The 13988-nt window shown below is 42.8% G+C and overlaps 1 protein-coding gene across 37 annotated transcripts in view, besides 1 other annotated feature; it reads right to left on the bottom strand.

Annotated features, from left to right (window-relative positions):
- The window catches only part of PROM1 (prominin 1), a 115796-nt gene that overhangs the window by 86280 nt on the left and 15528 nt on the right, over positions 1–13988 (bottom strand). The window lies entirely within an intron of this gene.
- Positions 13371–13964: an enhancer, noted in NCBI's record as "H3K27ac-H3K4me1 hESC enhancer chr4:16069501-16070094 (GRCh37/hg19 assembly coordinates)". NCBI's record gives its function as "activates a minimal SCP1, AML or CMV promoter by ChIP-STARR-seq in naive H9 embryonic stem cells {active_cell/tissue: H9 hESC(naive)}" and the evidence as "EXISTENCE:reporter gene assay evidence [ECO:0000049][PMID:30033119]".

The raw sequence follows: 13988 nt of genomic DNA on the forward strand, positions 1-13988 counted from the left end.
CATAAATCAAGTGATCCTGAGTTCAAATTCCAGGTCAGAAACTTAATGCTGTGTAACTTTAGCAAATTATTTAAATTCCCTGGGCCTCAATTTTCTCATCTGTAAAATGAAGGTAATAATACTCATCATTAAAAAATAATGTGTGAAAATCTTAGCAAGATGCCCAATACATATTGAGCAATTAATAGAGTTGCTATAATTATGTCTCCCTTCAAATGAGACCCCTTCAATCCAGCCAGATCCCCGACCTCCCAAAGCATGCCTTTGTTCATGCCCCCTCTGAGGTCTGCTGATGCTATTTCCCCACCTATCAAAACCCTCCCTATAATGGTCAGTACTCGAGTTCCGGGGGGGAAAAAAATCATCCCTATCCTCAAAGTTAAATGTGAGGTCCTCAGCTGATTTCCCTCATCACTAAATCCCTGCAACTCATAACTCACTTGTGACATTTAATGATCCACTGGCTTACATGTTCCCTGGACTATTTATTCTACGTAAATACATTTGTCTACTCTGCTAGAGAGACTGTTCATTCCTTAAAGCAGAAGATGTTCTCTCTGCCACACAAATCCTGTAACTCCTAACCCAGTGCTGTCCACCTGTAGCAATTGCTTAGTAAAACTTGCATGCCCCAAATGAGACATCTAAATGAGATCTAAGAACCTAGCATTCTCCTAGGCAAGACTATTTTCCTTGGAGAAACAAAATGTGGATTCATAATCACAGTACCATTCTTGATAAATTAGGCTGGTCATGGTGGCTTACGTCTACAGTTCCAGCTACTCAGGAGGCTGAGGCAGGAGGATCACTTGTGTGCTGAGATAACCTCCCAGGCAAAAATTCCCCTTGTCCTCTTTCTGGCTTCGTTATCCTACCAGCTCTCATTTGGCTGCAGGGTCTTAAATGAGCAGGCTTCTCCTATCTGGGCCTTTGTGTTCTCATCTACAAAATGGAAGTAGGGAATTGAATAATTATTTCTGATCGGAAGATCTCCCCAAACTCACAAATTCCCTAGAACCAAATAGCCTAATACCAATTCACGGTAAACAGCCTAGGGAAAGGGTTTTCGTCTGAAGAGAGGCTGTCACGGAATCAATAATAAAAAGACTAAGACTCTGCTACATAGCTAGGCAGAGGCATTTCACAGACAAACCCCTTAGAAAGGAAACAGATGTGAAAACGGTCAACCTTGACGGTAATGAGAAATATATATTTTTAAAAATGCAATGTCATAGCCTTTACAATTCCATTTTCTAAATACCCAACACATTACTAGTGGTGGCATAAACATCACAGACCTTCTGGTGGATTGATAATTCTTTCAAAAACTTGGAAATTAATCGTATCTTTTGGCTAAGAATGTTCTGGGAAAAGAATCCTAAACACAAACAAAAACATTTCCTGCATATCTAACCCTAGTAGAAATCTGGAAGTCAAAACAGGGAGGGGTGAGTGAGTCTGCAAGTGACTCTGTCCATATTCTCCATGAAGAGTAAGGTCTCTAGCTGGCAGAGGAGAGTTCAGGGTAGAGATTTGAGAAGAGAAGAGGACGTGTGCAAGCAGGGGGTTAGGAAAGAGGATTGACTGAGAAACAGGTCAGAGCTGTCAGGAGTACGAGCATCCTCGTGGGGGCTGTGGATATTCATTTAAGAGAGTCCAGCTGGCACAGTCGCAATTGTTTCTAGGAGCAGTCGGCCGCTTGGGTGTAGGCCTGAGGAAGTGGAGTAACCAGAAAACGCTGCAACCAGATTTAGGATTCCACCAAACAACAACCATGGTGGCAGAGGAGGGCAAGAGGATCTTTATAACGCAGGACTGTGGGTGCTCACAAAGGGAAGAGGAGGGGGCCCTGAGAGGGTACACAAGAGTGTATCCGCTCTTGCACGCAACAATTATGGGGTACTTGCTGCGTTGTGGGCACCACTCCAGATTCTGGGGCTATTGTATGGAGGAGTGAACAAAATCAATAGTGTTCCCCTCTTCAAGATGTTTAGAGTCTATCAAGTGAGATAAACAAATATTTATTGTAATACCAGAATAAATGCTATAAAGAAAAATGAAGCAAGGTGAGGGGTGTTGGGGTGGAAGACGATCTGTCCCTCTGAGATGACATTTGAGCAAAGGCTGGAAAGAAACAAGCCATGAAAAAAAAAAAATCGAAAGAAGAAAAAAAAGAAACGAGCCATGCAGAAGAGTCGTCCAGGCAAAGGGAATAGGCAGAGAAGCAAAGGGTCTGAGGCTTAGGAGCGTTTGGCATGTTCCAGGGAGTCGGCTGGCCTAGCTATTACAGGGGTTTGGGGCTACTACTGCAAGCTGCTGCCCATTCTCTCTGCCCATTAGGAGGCCCTGGCCATGGTCCAGGGGACTGGCAGCCTCAGCTGGGAGAGGGCAGTCCTGGTGGTCAGAAGGGGACAGATTTGAAATACACTCTCACACGAGAGCATGCGATTTCCATGCGAGCAAATTAGTCTTCAGGAAGACTGGCCTGCTCCTGTTTTTGCAATACAACGCTTAGGAAGCTGTCATTTCTGAAGTCAGGGAGCTATTTACTTGAATTTCAGAAGGAGATACTCATTTCTTCTCAGTTTTATTTCTATGCACAAGTTATATTTGGAATGGCTCTTTAAAGAAACACAATTCCTTGCCAGGCAGGCATCCGGGTAGTCAGTCATTTGTACACAGATCTGGCACATAAAACTCAGCATGTCACAATCAATCACCCTTCTGGAAGCCTGCTGTCCAAATCTCATTAGGCTGAGCTTCTGGGTCAGCCAGTTTCCAAGAGGATATAAAAACGTATACAACCTCCTCTTTCCCAGGATGCAGTCAGGTTCGAAGAGAGCCTTCATCTCAATTAGTAAACATGTCCTAATTTCATCAGTGACAGCATCAGATTGAAACATTTCAAATCATAATTCGGGAACTTAGAGACTCCTACATGAAGTAATCAACGCTAAGGAAAAACCAAATGTGAACAGTCACATCACCACCTTCTGGCTCCCAGGGTGAGCTAAGAAGCTTCTTCTCCACAGGCTTCTTCAACAGAATCTTTGTCTCTCCAGCCATTTTCTGTAAACTAATCACCACTCTCCTTGCAAGGCTAAAGAAACTTCTTTCATCCAGGCTGATGGGGAAAACAGATCTTCTCTATTTCCCTTCTCTAGTTTTAAATTATCGACTCTTCTTATTTTAATCCCACTCAAGAAAGATTAGGATTTTTATTTCTATTTATATCTACCTAGGTTTACAGAGATACATATAGAATTACGATAACATAAATAAGAAGAAAGAAAAAGAAAGAAAAGCAAGCCCGGGGACCTAAGAGGAAACAGGAGCTCCATAGAGTCAGATGCTCTCTGACTGATGGTTCCATCCCCCACAGCATTCATTCCTTACCTGTTTGCTGAACAAGGAACATACGAAGCAAAAGGTACAGCAGAGTCCTATACCTGTGGCGAAGGGTGATTCACTGTTTCAAAACTTCCCAGTAGCAGCCACCTGAAACTGTCCAGGCCAATTGTTCAGGAAAAAAAGACTAGAAAGAAGGTTTTTTTCCAAGGGCTCTCACAAAGAGGAAACTGGGACATAATCAACAAATGCCTCAACAACTGTAATGGAAGGAACAGGTTTCACTGTGCAGTTCCAGAAAACAGTGAGGAGAGAGTGAAGGGGCCTTATGAATCGCTCTAGGCATCCGGCTCACAGCTCAGGACAAAGCCCAGTGGACTTCAGAACACAACCACTGAAGGCTTTAACATTTTTTACTGAACTAACTATAACAACTCATACTTTTTAAAAAATCACTGCTTTTCAAAAAGATAAAATTCATTCAATATTATTAGCCAAATGAGTAAAGAGGGGAATCAAAACTCAAATGATAAACTATCAGAAATGAAAAATGATGCCAACGCAGGTGGATCACCTGAGGTCAGGAGTTCAAGACCAGCCTGGACAACATGGTAAAACCCCATCTCTACAGAAATACAAAAATTAGCCAGGCGTGGTGATGCATGCCTGTAATCCCAGCTACTGAGGAGGCTGAGGCAGGAGAATTGCCTGAACCCAGGAGGCAGAGGTTGCAGCGAGCCAAGATCACGCCACTGCACTCTAGCCTGGGCGACAGAATAAGACTCCATCTCCGGGAAAAAAAAAAAAAAATGAGAACACCGCATTTAAAAACTTAGAGGAGGAAGCCAAAACTGTCCTCAGGAGTAATTTTACAGACTTAAATGCATTTATTAGGAAATAAGCATAAAAATAAAATAATTTACCTCAAAAGGCTAAAAAAAAGTAAATAAGCTTCCAAAAATAGAAGAATTACTAAAAATAAACTAAACAAAACAAAGATAATTTTTCAGTTAAAAGGCACATTAGGAGGCATAAAGCCCAGCTCTTAACTCTGGAGCCTAGTCATGTTGCAGCAGGGAAGACACACCTGGAAAACAAGCAGTACAGTGTCCAAAAAGGTACCTTGGGAATGGGCTAAACTCCACTGAGTAATACCTGGACAGAACCTTTATATCAAATGTTCAGAATCACTCCACTTGTTTTTCCTTTCTAGACATCTAGGAAGTACTGGAACTTACAAAGCATTTTCATGGAATGCATTGTTCAACCCTCCTAAATGTATTATGTAATAGCCTAGTCTAAGAGGATAATGAAAAAAACAAGATTCTGAAATCAGTCAGATATGAGTTCAAATTCCTGCTCTGCCCACTCACAAGCTATGTGACCCTTGGCTAAGTGAGTTACCCTCTCCGAGCCTCCATTTCCATGTACATAAAATAGAAATGTCCACCCCACAAGACAGTAGACAAAATTCAGTGAGCTGTTTCTGCATTTTTCTGATGTATAGGTAAACTGGTTCAACATTTATGGAGTGCCATTAGGTGATATCTATCAAAAGTGCAAACTGGCCAGGCTCAGAAGCTCACATCTATAATCCCAGCACTTTGGGAGGCCAAGGCAGGAGGATGGCTTGAGCCCAGGAGTTCGAGACCAGCCTGGGCAACATGGGGAGATCCTGTCTCTCTAAAAAATAAAAAAAATTAGTCGGGTGGGGTGGTGCATGCCTGTGTTCCAGCTACTGGAGAGGCTAAGGTGGGAGGATCGCCTAAGCCCAGGAGGTGGAGGCTGCAGTGAGCTACGATTGTGTCACTGCAGTCCAGCCTCAGTGAAAAGTCACTTAGTGCAAATTCATGAAATTATAAACTGACCTGGCAATTCTATTTCTAGGAGTTTACCCCATATATATACTTGCATATTTGTGAAATAACTAAAATAATTTATAACAATGTATATAACAGCAAAATGGTTGAAATTAATTGATAAATAATAAACTACCTCACAGCAATTAAAAAAAATGGTAGTAAGACTGTTAGGGGTAGATCTAAAAAAATAAGGATGAGAGGGCTCTCTAGGTGCTAATATAAAATAATAATCAAGCTGTATGTTTAAAAAGAAAGCAAGGTGCCAAGTAATATATACAGTATTTTTTCACTGATGGAGACAAGACCATATACACATGTTGGCTTCTACATGCATAAAATAGGTCTGAAGAGACACAGACACACACAAACGCTGATAACAATGGTTGCCTATAAAGGGAGGCGGGGGGCTGAGAATCAGGAATGGGACTGAAGCTTCACACTGCATATTCCTTTGTACTTCTGAATTTTCAGTCATATAAATAGGTTATCCCTGCATTTTTTTTCCAAATTAAAGAGAAACGCATGACTAGAATTATCTACCAGATATATTAAGTTTTAAAAGCAAGGAGCAGAAGAGCATGTCAAATAATTCCTTTTTTTTTTTTCCTTTGGGACAGGGTCTTACTCTGTTGCCCAGGCCAGAGTGCAGTGGTGCAATCTCGGCTCACCGCAACCTCCACCTACCTCCCAGGCTCAAGCAATCCTCCCACTTCAGCCTCCCAAGTAGCTGGGACTACAGGCACGTGCTACCACGCCCGGCTAATTTTTGCATTTTTTTGTAGAGATGGGGTTTCGCCATGTTGCCCAGCTGGTCTCAAACTCCTGGGCTCTCAAATAATTCCTTTTGAAAAAAAAATATGTGTGTGTGTGTGCATGTGTGTCTAAAACATTTTGTGGATGTTTATTTCCCAGAGCCTAAAACAGAGCCTGACACTCAATAAACATCTACCAAACGAATGAATGAATGGTGGCATACAAAACTTGGTGATCATTAATTACCTCTGGAGAGTGAAGTAGGGTTATTTTACTTTTCCTTTTTCATCCTTTAAGTGATATTTGCGTTTTTCCCAACATATATATACATTGTTTTAAAATTTAGAATAAACTTAGTTTGAAATTATTTTAGCAAATATTGAACACGAAAGCAACATATATAATTGAGCCCATTCGATGATTCGGATTTAATTTAACACTATGTCTTCTCATTTCGGGTATACCCAGGAGCCCTTGTCACCTTTGGTCTGCATCACACAAAGTGTTCCTCATGTCACAGTTGTCCCTTGCCCCTGAGCTCTTTGCAGATATTTAATTACTGTTAAGTAGTTACTGTTAAGCTGGGGACTCCTGTTGGCTTAAGTATTATAAACTTGAATTTTCCCATGGAAGTAACAAGCAGTTATCTTGGAAATAAATTGTTAAGTCCCTGAAATAGAAATAGCCATCACAAAATCCAGGCACTTTGAATTCTACAGGAAAAATGGAGCCCCCCACTGGAACTCATCCAGAGATTTAAATGAATCATTAGGATTTTAAGAAAGGAGAGATGCATTATCAGCTGACTACAGAGAAACAACAACAACGGAATGTCAACCCTGAGAGTAAGGGCTTCTTCTAGAATACTATGTGATCTAGCTGTAGAACAGTAGGAAGAATCATGTGTACTATTTAAGCTATTTCACTTTTTCCTTTTCAGCACATGGAGTTGAATCTTCATAATTAAATAGATAATGTGATTCAAATGTATGTATACACAATAGAATATGTAGGATAGAGATCCCAGGAGCTAAAGCCCACTTTCTCGGCTGACCAGATGACATGGACATCAGTTCCGTCCCTCAGAACACATGGCTGTGCTCTGTCCCTCCCCATGAGGTGACCACTCTGTCGGATGCTCTCGGCCCTCTGCGAATACAGCTCATTTATCCACTTATGGGGTGAATTAGTTTTCTGGTGCTGTTGTAACAAAGTACCACAACGGACTGGCAATGTATTGTCTCACAGTTCTGAAGGCTAGCAATCCAAGATCCAGGTGTCAACAGGGCCATGGTCCTTCTGAAGCCTCTAAAGAAGGATCTGTTAGAGATCTCTCCTAGCTTCTGGTGGTTCCTTGAGTTGTAGCAGTGTGATCATCCCTTGGCATTCTCCCTGTGTGTGTGTGTTTACAAATTTCCTTTTTTTTTTTTTTTTTTTTTGAGACGGAGTCTCGCTCTGTCGCCCAGGCTGGAGTGCAGTGGCGCGATCTTGACTCACTGCAAGCTCCGCCTCCCGGGTTCACACCATTCTCCTGCCTCAGCCCCCGGAGTAGCTGGGACTACGGGCGCCTGCCACCACGCCCGGCTAATTTTTTTGTATTTTTAGTAGAGACGGGGTTTCACCGTGTTGGCCAGGCTGGTCTCGATCTCCTGACTTCGTGACCACCCGCCTCGGCACCCCAAAGTGCTGGGATTACAGGCGTGAGCCACCGCACCCGGCCACAAATTTCCCTTTTAAGAAGACACCAGTCATATTGGATTAAGGACCCAGCCTACCCCTGTATGACCTAAAAGTAACTAATTTCATCTGCGACAACCTTGTTTCTAAATAAAGTCACATCCTGAGGTACTTCGGGTTAGAAATTCCACATAATTTTCGGGTGACACAATTCAACCCATAACATTGGGTTTGCTCCCAGGCCCCTTTCTGTATATTAAGCACAATTGTTAATGAATAATAAATAAATACTACACCAACTAAAGACCCATGAACATAAAGAGAAGGAGCATTAAAAACCTAAGTCAAATGTCCTATAAAGACTTATTAAAGGCCAGTCATTTGAATGAAATTACATGTGAGTAAATTTTAAAAGTCTGGGGAGACAAACAACAAACTAAAAATCTAGAACTCTGAACTCTTAAGTGTTTTAGTTTTTGCTATACTTCAAAGAAACCAAAACAAAGAAACCACAAATTATAAAGGATGCATTTTGAGTATGATTTATATTAGAAACACTAAGTTTGAAACTTCTAACAATTAACGCCTAACAAAAACAAATTTTAAGCCTTGGCTCTACATCAAAAGATTGGTGAATGTTTTAAGTTCTTTACTTAAAAAACTTTCTTAATTTAGGCAACACCCTATTAGGAACAGACATGGAAAGATGCCCGTGATATAATGTTAAGTAAAAAGTTTAAGTTACAAAATATGCAAAGTATCCCCCCTTTTCCCCTAAAAGTTGCAATATATTTGAGAGCATGTTTGTGAATGATTTTGAAAGAATTGGGCCCATTATGAATGAATAAATCTAGACAGTGATCATCATCACTGCCAACGTCACAAAAGATACAACCAGAAACTATCCATCTCCTGATGTAAATGTAGGACACTATCTATAAAGGTGTTTTTCCCCCAAAATGAACCTGAATCTGATCTCTATAAGTACTAGTTTACAGGAAATGCAGTAGACAGAGGAACATGATAAAGAACACCATAAAGGTGCAACCAGCAAAATGCAGCCTAAGGGAAATAGTGTAGGAAAAGCAACGTGGTTCTTCAACAAATAAATTGCAAGAGGGAAAAAGACATAAAGGTGCACCTTATAAATCAAAAATAGATGTAAGGAGGCTGGGCGCAGTGGCTCACGACTGTAATCCCCCACTCTGGGAGGCCGAGGCAGGGGATCACTTGAGGTCAGGAGTTCGAGACCAGCCTGGCCAACATGGTAAAACCCCGCTTCTACCAAAAATACAAAAATTAGCCAAGCATGGTGGCACATGCCTGTAGTCCCAGCTACTCGGGAGGCCGAAGCAGGAGAATCACTTGAACCTGGGAGGCAGAGGTTGCACTGAGTCCAGATCTCGCCAGTGTACCCCAGCCTGGGTGACAGAGTGAGACTCCATCTCAAACAAAATAATAATAATAAATAGATGTAAGGAGATATATCAACCAATTACAATGTATGGACGTTATGTGTATCCTGATTCAAACAAAAAAAACTTTTAAAAATGCAGCTATGAGAAAATCAATAAAACTGCACATTTCCTGAATGTCTGATTATAATGAGGATATACTGTTAACTTCCACAGCATATAATAGCATTGTTCTTATTTTTGGAGACACATTCTGAAATACTTACAGATGAAATGACAGAACAACTGGGATTTGCTTCAAAGTAAAAGAAGGGGGTAGGAGGAGTGAATAGAGGTAGAACCAGAGTAAGACTGGTAATGAGTTGAAAGTTGTTGGAGCTGAGTGATGGATAAACAGGGACTCATTAGACTCTCCTCCTACTTTTATACATATTTGAAATTCTCCATAATAATGTTTTTAAAAAATTTGCTTGGCATACGCACTTGGGAAAACTTTTTGGCAGTATTACTAGAGATGAAAAAAATGCATACCCCATCGTGCAGCAATTCATTCCTAGATATATGCCCGGCAGAAATGTGTACATATAGTCACTAAAACACATAGGAAAAATCTTCATAGCAGGACTAAGCATAATGGCCCCAACCAAAAACCTCTCAAATGCCAATGCAGTAGGGGGATCAACACACAATGGTATATTCACACATAATAGAATAGTATACAACAATGAGAATGAAGATTTACAACTACACATAACAATATGGATAAATTTCACAAAATGTTGAGCAAAAGAAGCCAGAAACCAAAGAGTATATATCGTGTGATCCCACCAGGAATAATTAATCTATACTACGGAAAGTCAGGCGGGCGTTACCCTTGGGAGGAGGCAGGAGACAGTGACCAGGTAACAAGAGGCAGTTCCTCCGTGGGATGGTTCTTTTTCACGATCTGAGTACTAGTTACACGGATGCGATTTGTGAAAAGTCATCAAGCTGTAAGCTTACACGTAATTTTTCTGTATGCATATTATACTTTAACATTAATATTTTAAATATTTTTTAAATAAAAAGAAACAGAAAATTAGCACTTCGGGAGGCCGAGGTGGGCTGATCACCTGAGGTCACGAGTTCGAGACCAGCCTAGCCAACATGGTGAAACCCTGTCTCTACTAAAAATACAAAAATTATCCAGGCATGGTGGCGGGCGCCTGTAATCCCTGCTACTCTGGAAGCAGAGGCAAGAGAATCACTTGAACCTGGGAGGCAGAGGTTGCAGTGAGCCGAGACTACACCATTGCACTCCAGCCTGGGTGACAAGAGAGAAACACCATCTCAAAAAAAAGAAAAGAAAAGAAAATTCTGATTGAGTTAAGTGTGGGATGGGTCCCAAGAATCTGCATTTATAAAAAGCTCCCTGGTGATGCTGATGCTGTTGGCACCAAAGGCCACACTTTGCATAGGACTGAGCTAAGCCACTAGTGTCCAAATACACACAAGAATTTCCAGAAACAAACTCAGTGGCCAATCCATGCTCCCCATGGCCTCCTTCATGTTGCTTTGGCAGGGTTAGAGGTTTTCTTCTGAGTGATGCTCAATCTCCACTGTCTGCAGCACCCTGACGGCATGACATTCCAGAGCCTGCATGCCATATGCCTCCAAGCTACTCCTCAGACCATGTCCTCACAACCTTCCAGACATGCAGGGAACCAGCCTCACTGCTCCCCAGGCCATGTCCTATGAGCCTGTCTCAACTTGCATCATTCAGGCCTCAGTTCCCTCCACCTGGAATGTTCTCTGTGTCTTGAACTCTTCCACACACTCATAGCTTAGTTTGAATGCTACTTCCTCCAGGAAGCCTTCTCTGATTGCCCCCACCATGACCAATCCCTCCTCTACACAGCTGTGAACACTATTCATACCTCATAGTAAGCACGGACTAGCCTGCCCTGTGCTACAGCTGATTGTGGAGGTGGAGGTCTCCTCAGCTGAATGTCAGCTTTTTGAGAGCAAGGGAACCCAGTCAACACCATCTGCCAAACAGCGTCAGGCTTGGTGCCCAGTAGATGCTTGCTACACATCTGCAGAAGTGAAATAAGCACTTGGAATCAGACAGTCAGGTTTCAATCTGATTCTGTCTTTCTCAAGAAATATGACCTTGGGTGCATTGCTTAATATCTCTGAGCAGCACAAAGTTACTTGAAAAACTAAATAAGAATATAGCAGGAGTAGCAGGCTGAATGGTGTTCCCCAAAATGACAGATCCAAGTCCTAACCCCAAGACCTGTGAACATGACTTTACCTGGAAAAAAGTTCTTTGCAGACATAATTAAGTATCTTGAGATGAGATCATCCTGGACTTGGGGTAGGCCCTAAATCCAGTGCCAGGTGTCCTTAGAAAGGAAGAGACTCAGAGATGGTCCTGTGAAGACAGGCAGAGATGAGAGTGATCCTGGCCAGGCCAAGGAACATCTGGAGCCATCAGAAGCTAGAAGAGGCAAGGAAGATTGTCCTCCAGAGCCTTCAGATGGAGCGTGGCCCTGCCCACACCTAGATTTTAGACTTCCTGCCTACAGAACCACAGAAGAATACACTTCTGCCATTTTAAGCTACCTGGTTTGTGATAATGTGTTATGGTTGCCCTAGGAAACCAATAAAGCGAAGGTCAAATAAATACTTCTTTCTTTGTCCATGTCATCACCAAGACCTGAGATTAATTTCAAAGCTTTTAATAAATATGGATTTTATACATTCATATTTTGACAAACACTTAGTATCTACCAAGCGCTATTCTAAATGCTTTATAAATATAATTTACCTAAACAAATATTAAGATGACCTGAAAAGCAGGTACTATTATTATCATTTCCACTTTAGAGAGGGAAAACTAACGAATAGAGATTATTAAGTAACTTGTGCAATGCAGAGCTAGTGGACGTCAGAGTTGGGATTCAAATCTAGGCAGTGACTCCAGGGCCACTGAGTTTGGGGCTCCTTTCTGAATCTTGATCCCAGGCACAGGCCACCTGTGTCATCTCTCCTGGAAAAGTCATCCTGCTCTAGGCTCTGACCTGGCACCACCCTGCAGACCACACTTTCCCGCCACTTCTCTAGGGGTAAATCTCAAGACTTCATTTCTGCTCAAGCCCAGTGGACAAATGCTATTTAATACCATGGTGGCTTCATGCAGCAGCTGCTGGGCGGCCTCTCTGTATTTACATTCACACTTAATCTCCCCTTTCCTGCATGTATTGAAGGCCTCCTGAAAGGATGTCATCGCTGAAGATCAGCAGAGCAGGAAGCTTTGCTTCTGGTGTCTTTTGCCAGATATTTCCCAGCTGTGCATAGCCCGCCTCGATTATTTATGTAGGGCAAGATAGGACCCTATTTCAGAGGGACTTTGTAGGCTAGATAATAGGCTAAAAGTCTACAGGATGAGTTTTTCAGTTTGGTTACAGAAGACTGCCCTATGAAAGTGAAGACACACAAGGAAGATTAGAAGTATCTATTATAATCTGCAGACACGTCACCTGCCACTCAAACCCACCCACTCACAGGTCACTGGGGACGTCAAATGAAATCTATACAACAGATCTCCTCCTCCATGGAGGGAATAGGGTGCAGCACGGAGGGAAGAGCCTACGTTTGGAGGGCACAGGGTCCCAGGTCTAACCTTGGCTGGGCCTCTTAGCCATCAGGGTGTGTGACCCTAGACACTCCTTAGCCTCTGAGTCTCACTTTCCTCATCAGCGAAAGAAAAGTGGCAATTATGACTTGCCTCTGAAGCCTGCCTGGATTCAAACCCTGCCTCTGCCACTGACCAGCTCTAGCACCTGGGGCAAGTTATTTGATCTCTGAGCCTCGACTTCCTCTTCTGTAAAATGAGATAACAGCAGTTAGCTCCTGGTGCTGTTGACTCGCCTAAATCCCTGAAAGCGGGCACACAGTGAGTGGTGCTTGCCATTCTGACTGTTAGGATGGCAGCTGTAAGTTGCCCAGCAGAGTGACTGACATGGAGGAGGAAGGATCAATAGATATCAGTTCTTTCCTCTGTGTGTGACCTAATTTGTGGCTAGGCCCATTGCCAGCATGAGTCACATGTTCTAAAGGCGACAATGCTGGCTTTGTCTGAATTAAGTAAGGACACGCAGATGTTGGAGCCTGATCCTACGTGGACATGGGCATAGACACGTCGATTTGGCTATTCACTCAGCCGCCCCTTTCCTGGGTACCGCTTCTCTCTGCCTCTGAGGCCATGGTGACAGTGAGGGCCCACAGCAGCCAGGCTCACACAGACGACCCCGGCCACGTGACTCAATGGCTCCACGGTTTATGATTGGTTCGGGTGAGCCAGAAGCCCTCCCTGGGAATTGAGAATTGGGATAGAAAAAGAAAGAACTCCCAGCCACTCTCCAAGAAGCTGGCCTGAAACCTATGATGCTGACAAGCTGGTTCTCCACCATGAGGACTGCAGGGGTGCAGGAAGCCAGAGGGAGAGGGTAGGGGAGGAGGCAGAGTAGATGTACAGAGAAGCCAAGATAGGAGGCAGAGAGAATCCAGGTGAGGGCTGGTCCCTGGTGGCTCATATGTCACTGAGTGCCCTGAGAGAACCCGGAGTCCTGATGAGAAACTCCCTGTTTTTGGTTACCTTGGCTATCTTAAATAAAAATGATAGGAGGCCACTGTTTAGGACTAGGCTCCTGTACTAGGCCCCAACAGAGCAGAATAAAAATCAAAATGGAGTCACCCATGCTAAAGTTCCACGTTACCAAATGGAAACTGAGTTGTTATCTGGCTTTCCAAGAAATCAGGAGAGACAGATAGCAGCCTATTTCCCAAACAGGCCAGTTGCTATTGGCATGATAATGAAGCTCCCTCCATTTCAATCCTTAACCTGAAGTCACTTGATGTAACCAGTTATTTCTCTATTGCTCTGTCT

The sequence above is a fragment of the Homo sapiens genome, chromosome 4 (assembly GCF_000001405.40).
Source record: "Homo sapiens chromosome 4, GRCh38.p14 Primary Assembly".
NCBI classification, from domain to species: domain Eukaryota; kingdom Metazoa; phylum Chordata; class Mammalia; order Primates; family Hominidae; genus Homo; species Homo sapiens.